This window comes from Homo sapiens, chromosome 18 (genome assembly GCF_000001405.40).
Source record: "Homo sapiens chromosome 18, GRCh38.p14 Primary Assembly".
In the NCBI taxonomy this organism is placed as follows: Eukaryota; Metazoa; Chordata; class Mammalia; order Primates; family Hominidae; genus Homo; species Homo sapiens.
In genome coordinates, this window is record NC_000018.10 from 31,905,846 (window position 1) to 31,918,719 (window position 12,874).

The following is a 12,874-nucleotide window of genomic DNA, read 5'->3' on the forward strand; positions in this document are numbered from 1 at the left end:
AGTTTTTATCAAACATTCTACTTGCAGGTACATTAAATAAAAATTTCTCATTACAAATGCATACCTAGGTTATAAGGTATTAATAATAACATGAAGTATTTGTGATTTCATATTAGCTTAAATTGGATGACTATAATGAGCAATCAGAGAATATTTAGCCAAGGAAAATTCACTTATATTTTCAAACACTTCTCATGAACATAGCATATTTTCCATTTCTATGAAAGGTTTTTAAAAACTTGGTTGGCCGGGCACAGTACATTGCCTGAGGTCAGGAATTCGAGACCAGCCTGGGCAACACAGCGAAACCCTGTCTATACTAAAAATACGAAAAAAAAAAAAAAAATTAGATGGGTATGGTCGGGCATGCCTGTAATCCCAGCTATTCAGGAAACTTAAGCACAAGAATCTTGAACCCGGGAGGTGGAGGTTGCCGTGAGCTGAAACTCTGTCTCCAGGAAAAAAAAAAAAAAAAAAAGTGGGCTGACTTTTTTCATTAAAAAATTAGAGAACCAGAAAGCAATAGTAATATAATTTTGCTATTCTGGCTTCCATTTTTAAGTTACATATTTTATATATGCACAGTATTAAAATAAATGCAAAACAAATGCCAGTTATTAAACAAGTATCTGTCAGCCTGTGAATATTTTCTAGCTAAAAAAAAGTATCTACACAATTACCTATGAATTATTCTTATAAACTTTTTTCTTCACTTTTGTTTATAAGCTTACATGTCTTTTAAAAGATTAAATAAAAAGTAACAGTGCTAATTTTACTCTTTTCTGAACACATAAAGCAGATTACACATATATCTGTGGTAACTTTTCAAAAACATTAAAAGGTTTTAGGCAACAAGTATAGCAAATTCTTTGGAAATACCTGGCTTTGTAATCAATTACAAAACTAACACAACTGATATTACTGACAGCTTATTATATATAAGGCATTATGCTAAGTGCATGCTTTATACTTTATCTGATCCTATACCATTAGGATTCGCATATTTTACAGGTCAGAAAACTGTAGCTTAGAGATATTCAATAACTTGCCTAAGATGAGAGAGTGTCTCACACCAAAGTACATGTTCTTGATGTATGAAGTCATACATCAAGCAACTTAAAAATGTTTGTCAAGGTTTAAAAAAACTTCTAAAAAAATTTTTGTATTTTAAATATATTAGAAAATGAAATACAATTCTGAAAGCTGATGCAAAAGTTGGAAAGTACTAATAAAGAAAGAAACCCTAATACATGACCATTTTTTAATTACCTAGTTTTTTGGGTTTTGTTTTTAAGAAATAAGTTTTTTCAATTTATTTTTAAAGATGCAATCTTACTATGTTGCTCAGGCTGGTCTCAAACGCTTGGGCTCAAGCAATTCTACTGCCTCAGCCTCCCAAGCAGCTGGAACTACAGGCATGTGCCACCATACCCAGCTAATCAACTAGTCTGAGGGAAATCCATCAACTCAGCATTAAGGAATTAACAATCTGTAAAGTACTATATGCTCTTTGAGTACAACTTTATCCCTAAGGATTCTGTTTGCCACCAAGAGAAATTTCTAAATAATTTATGGTAGCAGAATTAAGGAATTATAATACCATAGAATACCAACCAAGGCACCAGCTGCATAAAGCATTGCTTGATCATTAAGAAAATCTTTCTTTGCAGTATGATAGCAACTGTAAGCCAAATCATAATGCTGCACCAAAAAACATAAGTCAGCCATTTTCCTGATTTGAAGTTCTGGTGCTTCCGGCGGATACCTGTAAATACAAAAGAAAATAATTTATAATTTATTACCCCCCAAACCATTAAAATTATAAAATACATTAACAAGCTGCCATGTTCTTCTAGAATATGAAGAAAACTAATGCTGTTTCAAAGAAATTCTACCTCCAACAAGAGTGTCAGTTCTCAAAAATACCTGGAAACAGAAAGTTCCTTGTTTTATTATTTATAGCCCTGAGAATGTCTGAATGGCAGGCAAACATTTTCTCCATGGTCAAATAATGAAGTAAATGGTTAATTCCAAGTGACTCACATTTATATACAACCAGGAGAAAGATTAAAATCCAAAATGGATTAATTATATTTTTTCCTTAAAATGGTTTTTTGTGTAAAGCAAAATTTATTAAATGTGTCCCTTGTCTTAGAATCATCAGGCCATTACATTTTAGATATAGAATGGTTACTAATGAATACCTAGTCTAACTTCATTGTTTTACAAATAAGGAAACAGACCAAAAGTGACTTTCCCATTTGTTTTTAGATGTCCAATTACTTAGTTTTTAAAAAATTAATATGATTTACTTGAGTCACTCTTCTTATCCACCTGAATTTTCACCAATAAGAAACTAAGAAATTAAAGAGATAGTTATCTTCTGCAGGATATACAATCAAACACTAGTCAGAGAGTTAAACAGAGGAAAAACAAAAATGATAACACTTTACTCACAGCAAGCCAGATGTATTTTTCAGGTCATTAATGCTCTTTTCTGGAACTTTACTGCCACTAAACCATTTTTTAGTTGCAGAAAATAGAGATCGACTCAAACCTTTTCTTGATATTAGCTTTAAAAAAGAGATTAAATATGTTGACAAACAAAGAATTTAGTATTTTTCCTTTACATAAAAAAATTTTAACTAAAAAGCTTTAATAGCAAATGTTCATTTTAATAAAACTGATTTAAAGAAAACTGTCCAATATGCTGGCAAAATCCTATTGAAAATGAATAAGCCTCTTCTAGAGTTGAACAGAATTTCATCATTGATAGTAATTTTGGGAAGTCTTAATATTGGCCTATCTTAAAACGAAAATAAAACAAAACTTCAAATACGTTTAATAATTCTTAAATTTACTATTTACTTAAATTTTTAAAATACTAATCCAAAAAATCAAACCTTACCTGATCGTTTAATTGCCTAATTGTTTTCTCTATATGTGGCAAAAGGCCCCGAAATGTGAACTCTTGTATAAACTGTCGAATTCTATCATGATCAGTAAGTGTTAAACATGCACCATGAATTATTCCAGTATTTCCTTTCTTTGTTTCATGTAACGATGAAGCAGATCTTAGATGATCTGGGCCATCAATACTGTTAGAAGGGTCACTGGATTGCTCCAACTGAAGTGGGTGAGCTCTAAAGTTATTTGGTAAGCCATCTACTGAAAAAGAGATTATTTCTTTTACTCTCAGAATGCAACAGAAAACAGTGCTAATACTACCATACTGCTAAAGAAAAAAAAAAAGCAGAATGTTAAAATCCTTTATCTTTCAGTATAGGTAAATGTCTAAGATAAAACAGCAGTAACATCCCCCAGCCCCAAAATTAATGAGCTTGAGTTAATATTTGTTTTGGTACCTGTATTAGTAATTTGAAAATCGGTATAAACCAGGAAATGGAGAAAAATACTTTATTTTAAATAATATAAAGAATGACTTTTAAATAGTACAACTAAGCCGTAAGAAAAAATATAACAAAAAAAATTTGTTATCATTACAAAAATCATAAAGTCAGAAATAAAGCTCTCAAAATCATGTAAATTTTTAAATAATTAATGCTGTGCATCACATCTTCCCTTGCTTTCTACAAAATATTTTAAAAGAAATCTATACACTACTCATATAAAACAAATTTTTAAGTGTCAAAAACAAACTCAAGTAGCTCAGTAAAATCTTCAGAAGAAAAACTAACCTGCCCAATATCTTTCTGTATTATGAAAAATTTCCCCCATCTTTTATCTATAAAGGTTAGCATGATCTGACAACAGTGCATATTTTCAATCAAAAGAGAAACTTAGAGAAAATATATCAAGACCTTTGACTTCGTTATCTAATCCATCCAATGAAAGCAAGTTATTATCAGAATTCTTATTTGAAGTTATAGTACAAGGGCCATCTTCATATGATTCCTATCAAAATAAAATTTAAAAAGCATTAGCAGTTATACTTAATCATACTTAATATACTATCAAATCCATCAACAACTATGGTTACTCTGCTAACTGTTGGCCTCATTTATTTGCTACAGTGAGCATTTTCTCGTCCTCCAAATTCATAACTTCTTCCATGGATCTTATTCTATCACTCCAACTCACACCTACTATATTCTTAAATCCCCTTTCACACTCAAGCTACTATCCTAATTCTTCTTAATTCAAATTATCTCTCAGGATATCTACTTATATATGATATGTATATACACGAGTGTTCATATAAGCACATACATATGCTTATGCCTCTTAAGTAAGGAATAATGGCAAGAGAGATGGACTACTAGAGTCAGACGGGGAAAGAAGAGAGGCACAGATATGAAATTCTTTGGGTCACAGTGTAAGCAGGTTGGAGTGAATTCTGAATATACTGAAGTGTTTTAGAAAAATATCTAACGCAACGTTTATTTGTGCAAAGGAACTGGTTTCTCAGTTAACAAAAAAACACTTAAACTAAAAATACCCAGACTACTCTACAAGACCAGTAAATATGATGTATTATTCTGAGTGTCACACTTTGAGGGAATTTACATAAACTAGAACTCAAGAAGAAAGTGACCAGGACAAGAAAGTCTGAAGCCACTCCTTGAGAAAGAGTTGCAGAAACTAGGCATATTTAGACTGGAAAAATATAAAAGAGGACATGAGAATTATCCTTCTATATTTTGAAAGTTGTCTTAATGGAAAACTAACATAGTCACTCCCAAAGGATCAAGCGTACAAGCAAAGGTCAAGAATTTTTTATTGATCCTTAAGCAAAATGAGAGAATTTTTGGGTGATCAGACATGCAATAGGTCACTTAATAAGAATACAGTGAGTACTGTCAACAGACGCAGTCATTCGTAAGTTTAAAGAAATTAAAGCATTAGATCAAGCATTGGATGTAAAACCTCTAAACTATTCTCCAACTTTGAGCTTCTAGGATGCTAAGGCATAGATTTCTGATATTTCTGCTTTCTGCTAAAAGTTCTCATACTGCACAATCTTCTTCATGTTCCCCTTCACAACCTTAGGTGACTGAACTCTAAAGTGTATTTTTTTCAGTACTGTTCTTATTCTTAGAATGGCCCCTAAAAGACCATTTTTAAAAATAAAGTTCCTTCACATCCAACTGGTACTTCTTTGCTTTTCCCCAGCATTATCTTAAAGAACGTCAGTAATCACCTCAATACTAAAGTCAGTAAAATACCATGATAGCACTACATTTAGATTTAAAGATTCCATTTATGAGACAGAAAAATAAAGCAAATAAACAGATTAAACAATACTTATATCAGAAGATCAAAAATTACATAAGCTTTGTAATTGATTTTTTAAATGTCACACACAGAGTGCATAATATAGTTTAATTGAACAATATAAATATATTTTCCATTTACTTAAGAATTTCTAGGCCAGGCGCTGTGGCTTACGCCTGTAATATCAACACTCTGGGAGGCTGAGGCGTGTGGATCACTTGAGGTCAGGAGTTCAAGACCAGCCTAGCCAACAGGGTGAAACCCTGTCTCGACTAAAAATGAATCGCTTGAACCCAGGAGGTGGAGGTTGCAGTGAGCCGAGATCTCGCCACTTCACTCCAGCCTGGGCAACAGAGTGAGACTCCGTCTCAAAAAAAAAAAAAAATTTCTGGCCGGGTGTGGTGGCTCAGCACTTTGGGAGGCTGAGGCAGGGGGATAACTTGAGGTCAGGAGTTCGAGACCAGTCTGGACAACATGGTGAAACCCCATCTCTACTAAAAATACAAAAATTAGCCAGGCGTGGTGGCGGGCGCCTGTAATCCCAGCTACTCGGGAAGCTGAGGCATGAGAATAATTTGAATCCAGGAGGCAGCTGTTGCAGTGAGCCGAGATCATGCAGTGAGCCGAGATCATGCCACTGCACTCCGGCCTGGGCGATAGAGTAAGACTCCGTCTCAAAAAAAAAAAAAAAAAAAAAAAAGAATTTCTTCTAGGCCGGCATGATGGCTCACACCTGTAATCCCAGCACTTTGGGAGACCAAGGCCTGGGCGACAGAGCGAGATCCTGTCTCAAAAAAAAAAAAAAAAAAAATTTTCTTCTAAACAAAAAACAGTGACTCTCGATTATCTGAACTAAGCATAGGAACTTGGCATTTGACTACTACCAAGCGGCATACTATTGTACCTTAGAAGTCTGACAAAACATCAAACGCCCATCAACTTAAGCCAATAGGACAATCAATCTTATTCTAGAACTCGAGGTTAAGAAAGGAGTAATTAAAAAACAGTAACTCCTGAGAGTACATAAAGAAGGGAAATCAACGGAAAGTTGGAGGGAAATGCCCACCCACCTAAAAAGTATGAGTTCCTGAAGGTGGCTATAAAAGCATGTTAAAAAGGTACGAAAGAGGCTGGGCATGATGGCTCATGCCTATAATCCTAGCACTTTTGGAGTCTGAGGCGGACAGATCACCTGAGGTCAAGAGTTCGAGACCAGCCTGACCAATATGGTGAAACCCTCTCTCTGCTAAAAATACAAAAATTAGCTGGGCGTGGTGGTGTGCGCCTGTAGTCCCACCTACTTGGGAGGCTGAGAGAGGAGAACTGCTTGAACATGGGAAGTGGAGGGTTGCAGTGAGCCAAGATCGCGCCATTGCACCCCAGCCTGGGCAACAGAGCGAGACTCTTTGTCTCCAAAAAAAAAATTAGCCGGGCATGGTGGTAGGTGGTGGACGCCTGTAATCCCAGTTACTCAGGAGGCTGAGACAGGAGAATTGCTTGAACCCAGGAGGTGGAGGCTGCAGTGAGCTGAGATTGTGCCACTGCACTCCAGCCTTGGCGACAGAGCAACACTCTGTTTCAAAAAAAAAGAAAAGAAAAAGAAAAATGTAGGGAGCAACCCCAGAGCATGTAGATAATAAAGAATTGACTGTAGGCATTCATAATGAATTAAACAGACAAGTCAGAAATTCCATTCTGCACGTCTAGCCTATCTAACTCAATTCTTAACGTGTAATTCACTTTTAATCTTTTAAGAAAGAGATCAGTCCAGGCGCGGTGGCTCACACCTGTAACCCTAACACTTTGGGAAGTTAAGGTGGGCAGATCACTTGAGGTCAGGAGTTCAAGACTAGCCTGGCCAATATGGTGAAACCTCACCTCTACTAAAAATACAAAAATTTGCCTGGCATGGTGGCATGTGCCTGTAATCCCATGTACTTGGGAGGCTGAGGCAGGGGAATCACTTAAACCTGAGAGGCGGAGGTTGCAGTGAGCTGAGATCACACCACTGCACTCCAGCCTGGGCGACAGAGCAAGACTCTGTCTCAAAAAAAAAAAAGAAAATGATTAATTCACACTGATAGTACACACCTGAAAAGAGTGCACATAAGGGATTACTGCAGTTAGTTAAAAACAGCTTTTAAACCACTGACCTAAGAGCTCACCTCTGACAGATCAAAACTGACCAGATTCCACACAATTAATATGAATAATTATACTAGTTAAACCAAAACGTAAAAACTGAAGTATCGTTTTTGTGGTTTGCTTCATTTATTTTTTACATATACCTGGTTTTGAATACTATTTTTCTGGAGATACTGACTCCAAGGATCTGGTATCTGTTCATCTGATGCTCGATTAGATGTTCGAGAATTAATTTTAAGTAAATAGCAACCCTGAGTTCCATATTTCTGTTTCATTTCTTCATAAATTGATTCAGCTCTAAAACAGAAAATGGAAAAAAATCTGAAGTAAAAGAGGAGCAGGCCTTAGGCAATAATAGAGACTAAAGTAGTACAAAAATAACATTAAAATAATCCCCCAAAAAGGCATATTTAGACTGGAAAAATATAAAAGAGGACATAAGAATTATCCTTCTAGAAAATTAGGACAGAATAACCTAAAAGCGAAAACAAAAATCATGATGGCAATTGAAATTTAGCTAGCTTAGATACCACCTTAAAGCAGTTACCAAAGTGTGTTCCGTGGAATAAAATTCTGCAAGACACTCCTCTACGTTATTCAAAGAGAGAGCTCTGGTGGTCAAACTAGATTGCGGGGGGAACTACAGGAAACAAAACAAGTGTTTTGACTCAGCGTGGTGGCCATAATCCCAGCACTTTGGAAGGCCAAGGTGGGAAGATCACTTCAAGTCAGGAGTTAGAGACCATCCTAGGCAACATAGGGAAACCCTATCTCTATCAAAATTAAAATTAACCAAAAATGGTGGCACACACCTGTGGTCCCAGCTGCCCAGGAGGCTGAGGTGGGAAGACTGCTTGAGCCCAGGCACTGCACTCTAGCCTAGGCAACAGAGTGAGACCCCCATCTCAAAAAAAAAAAAAAAAAGGAGGAAAAACAAGAAAAAAAAAAAAACAACCTGGAAAACTAACCACATTCAAATGTAAATACTAATACTATGTAAGCAACAAGCCTAGCAAACAACAAAATGATATTACGCACTAAAAAATTATGGCTGGATAAGTAAAATAGTTATAGAAAATTTGTATAAATGCAGATGCATGTGTGTGTACACACACTGAAGGACAATAAAGCAAACTCCTGCTCACGTTACTAATGATACTGCTAAACCTAAGAACCATTCATCTGATACTTGAATTACTACCTTAAATATCCTAGTTACAACCATTCAATACGGAAGACACACTCCAAATTGAACTGACAGAAACTAATTCTAATAGTCATTTCAAATTTTTTCTATTAATATAGTAGTACACCTTATCCAACGGGCTACAGACATTTCAAAATATCCTAAAGATTAGTAATCTTCAGAGTAATTAACTGGATCTGCAGAGGAAAATTTAATAAAAAGATGGTGGTCCATGCTCAGGACAAGGCGGGTAATGATTATTAAACTACATTTCCTCAGTGGCACTAAGGCATCAGAATAGTTTCAAACAAAACATTAATCTGCTCCACACCTTGCACCAAAAGCCAAAATAAGCTCCAAAGCCATGCAAGTAAAATTACTGCGTTTATCCTATTTTTCAAGAATTTATTTTTAAAGACAATCTATTCACATATCCCAAATACAAAAGGACTACTGCAAACAACAAATCATGAATATTAAAGGGAACATTAAAAAAAGTTTGAATATTTCTAAGGCTATGAAAAATATCAAGGCTATAAATATGAAGTCACAAGAGAGTGGACAGTGGAAAAAGTGCCTGTAAGCAAGTCAGGCCATGAAAAGTGAGAGGAAAACTGGGAAGCAGAAAAGAACAAAGAAAGAGAAATAATTTTATATAAAACCAGAAATAACAGCTATGATCTACAGTTGTGAAATGACAAGTGTTTTTGTACAGACTGTATAACAATTATACATTAAAAAGAAAGTTTGGGTAAGCATATGAAATCTAACATAAGGCCAGGCGAGGTGGCTCACGCCTGTAATCCTACCACTTTGGGAGGCCAAGGCGGGCAGATCACCTGAGTTCCAGAGCAGCCTGGCCTACGTGGTGAAACCCTATCTCTACTAAAAATACAAAAATTAGCCGGGCGTAGTGTCATGTGCCTGTAATCCCAGCTACCCGGGAGGCTGAGGCAGGAGAATCGCTGGAACTCAGGAAGCACAGAGGCTGCAGTGAGCCAAGATCGTGCCACTGCACTACAGCCTAGGTGACAAAGTGAAACCCCATCAAAAAAAAAGGGGGGGGGGGCGCAGGCGCAGTGGCTCCCGCCTGTCATCCCAGCACCTTGGGAGGCCGAGGCGGGCAGATTACTGAGGTCAAGAGTTCAAGACCAGCCTGGACAATATGGTGAAACCCTATCTCTACTAAAAATACAAAAATGAAGCCGGGCGTGGTGGCTCACGCCTGTAATCCCAGCACTTTGAGAGGCCCAGGCAGGCGGATCACGAGGTCAGGAGATCGAGACCATGGTGAAACCCCGTCTCTACTAAAAAAAATACAAAAAATTAGCCAGGTGCAGTGGCGGGCGCCTGTAGTCCCAGCTACTCAGGAGGCTGAGGCAGGAGAATGGCGTGAACCCAGGAAGCGGAGCTTGCAGTGAGCTGAGATCGTGCCACTGCACTCCAGCCTGGGCGACAGAGTGAGACTCCATCTCAGAAAAAAAAAAAAAAAAAAATTAGCTGGGCATGGTGGCGGGCACCTGTAATTCCAGCTACTCAGGAGGCTGAGGCAGGAGAATTGCTTGAACCCAGGAGGCGGAGGTTGCAGTGAGCCAAGATCGTGCCACTGCACTCCAGCCTGGGTGACAGGGCAAGACCTCGTCTCAAAAAAAAAAAAAAAAAAGAAATCTAACATAAAATAACTTGACTGTTGAATATAATGCCAGGATAAAACATAAAGTTAAATGCTTTATTAATAAAATTCACATTAAACTTTTACATTCTTGTATCAAAAATAAATCCAAAACGTAAACAAGCTATCTCCAAATTAATGTTAAATCATTTAACTGGAAAAAATTTAAAACTAAAATAAAAACTTACCTCTGTTCATCTCCTGCACTTACATCATGTAAAAGTACATAGTATTTAAGTGTATTTGGTATAAACCACTTGGGGTAGGAATAATCACTGTTGTGCTGAATTCGATGCTGTTCTTGTGACAACTTTGAAAACTGTTCCACAGGTTCAGCTTCACTAGATGACGCTACCAACATACCTTGTAAACCATATTATTAAGGTAATTATCGCTTATTACTCAATGATAAATATTGTCCTACTGAGATAAACAGGAGGTTTTTGTTTGTTTGTTTGTTTGTTTCTGAGACAAAGTCTCACTCTGTAGCCCAGGCTGGAGAGCAGTGGCGTGATCTCGACTCAACACAACCTCCGCCTCCCAGGTTCAAGTGATTCTCCTGCCTCAGCCTCCAGAGTAGCTGGGATTATAGGCGCAAGCCACTGCACCCAGCTAATTTTTTATATTTTTTGTAAAGACGGGGTTTCACCATGTTGGCCAGGCTGGTCTTGAACTCCTGACCTCAGGTAACCCGCCCGCCTCAGCCTCCCAAAGTGCTAGGATTATAGGCATGAGCCACCGTGCCCAGCGGTATTTTCACAGCAAAAAAAAAAAAAAAAAAATCCAATTTCATTGGTTTTAATTGCAAGCACAAAATAATTTCTCCAACACTCCAAATAATTCAATACTCCAGATAATTCTAACAGATTTTTTTTGTTGACAGTTTTTTCGGCCATTAATATATATGTAACAAGGAAACTCATAAAAATAAAAATGGACAACTGTACAACTTCAACAGAAATGAATTCTGCTGCATCTTGCTTCTCTCCACTCTATCTCACTGCAGTTACAAATTTCATCCTACCTCTTAACTTTCGTCAGTAACCGCATTAAGAAAACTAAGCCACAATCATAAAAAAATACCCATTAAAAAATTACTAAAAATATCCAAAATTATTTTTCATGAGTCTTAGGATAAGCAGTCAATTCTGAGGCAATCAGCAAAAGCAGTTAACATTGTTTAGATTTTCTTTCTAAAATGGCTAAAAAAGTTATTAAGCATGAAATATTCAAGCTAGGGGGCTAAAGAAAAATAAGCAAGCCCTCTGTAGTCTTATTTTATAATCAAAAACCAAATTGATTAAAAAATTGTTATAGCAGTCCTGTATCTAGGAGGCCATTTAACAAAATAACAAGACTCCGTGTATTGTCAATCTATAAAAAATAATTTATCTATTCTCTGTATCTTCAACAATTTTGCCTTCATTAACTATTTCTGAGATTAATAACTTCCATAATATTTGATTTGAGGAGAACATAAATGTCAAAGGATACATGCTAAATAGTGGTTCAGAAATTCATGATCCAATGCTGGCATCGACTGAAGAAAGGTTTCTCTGTAAGACTCAAACCATGGAGTAGTGGCTAAAATTAACAATATACAAAACAGTTAAAAGTATTCAATAGAATCAGTTTACAACAGACAAAATTTCAAGTCCATATTCCTAAAAGGTATAAAAAAAAAATTTCTAACAGTAAACAAGCATTTTTCACCTGTGCTTTCAGATGTACATGTGTGTATATATAAAATGTGTATAGGGCCTGGCACGGTGGCTCAGGCCTGTAATCCCAGCACTTTGGGAGGCCAAGGTGGGTGGATCACATGAGGTCAGGAGTTCGAGACCAGCCTGGTCAACATGGCAAAACCTCGTGTCTCTACTAAAAATACAAAAATTAGCCGGGCATGGTGGCACGTGACTGTAATCCCAGCTACTCAGCAGGCTGAGGCAGTAGAACTGCTTGAACCCGGGAGGTGGGGGTTGAAGTGAGCTGAAATCACACCACTGCACTCCAGCCTGGGTGACAGAATGAGACTCCGTCTCAAAATAATAATAATAATAATAAACTGAGTATATATGTACACACACCTTTTAAGCCATTCACAAGAATATATTCACACAAGAATATATTCATATATTCATGAGTATATATATTTGCAAAAATAAAATTGAATTATTCCCAAACCTAGTGTTCCCACAACCTACTTACCTATTAATGCTCTAAATATTACCTACATGAGTAAAAAGATTATTTCTTTAGAACTCAAGTTCTGTGACCCTGCCACTAGTCACACTGCCATAAGTAGATCTTTTTCAAAAATAACACTTAGCATAGAGGTTCTCAACTGAGCATGATTTTGACCCCCAGGAAACATCTGGCAACGTCTCAAGATATTTTTCGTTATCAGTTCTGGGGTAGGTGGCTTATGCTACTGGCATCAAAGAGGTCAGGAATAATGCAAAACATCTCACAAGACAAGACAAGACAAGACAGCCCCCACAATAAAGAATTATCTAGTTCAAAATGTAAATGGTGATATGGCTGGTAAATCTTACTTTGTAATTTGATTACTTGAATATGACAGTAACAAAGCCTCTTAAATGAAATTTCGAAGTACATTTACCTTACAATCAAAT

At 36.6% G+C, this 12,874-nt stretch overlaps 1 protein-coding gene across 12 annotated transcripts in view; it reads right to left on the bottom strand.

Annotated features, from left to right (window-relative positions):
* Positions 1-12,874, bottom strand: part of TRAPPC8 (trafficking protein particle complex subunit 8) — a 113,932-nt gene that overhangs the window by 76,649 nt on the left and 24,409 nt on the right. For 6 of the 12 annotated variants that reach the window (XM_005258234.4, XM_005258233.4, XM_047437353.1 and 3 more), the window contains exons 3-9: positions 11,733-11,822; positions 10,427-10,601; positions 7,524-7,677; positions 3,822-3,915; positions 2,909-3,168; positions 2,458-2,573; positions 1,615-1,765 (exon numbers count right to left, since the gene is read on the bottom strand). In XM_005258234.4, the coding sequence (XP_005258291.1) occupies positions 1,615-1,765; positions 2,458-2,573; positions 2,909-3,168; positions 3,822-3,915; positions 7,524-7,677; positions 10,427-10,601; positions 11,733-11,822 (1,040 nt within the window). Of the gene's footprint in view, positions 1-1,614; positions 1,766-2,457; positions 2,574-2,908; positions 3,169-3,698; positions 3,800-3,821; positions 3,916-7,523; positions 7,678-10,426; positions 10,602-11,732; positions 11,823-12,874 lie in introns of those variants that run through there. The other 6 variants (XM_017025616.3, NM_014939.5, XM_017025615.2 and 3 more) reach the window with 2 other exon arrangements.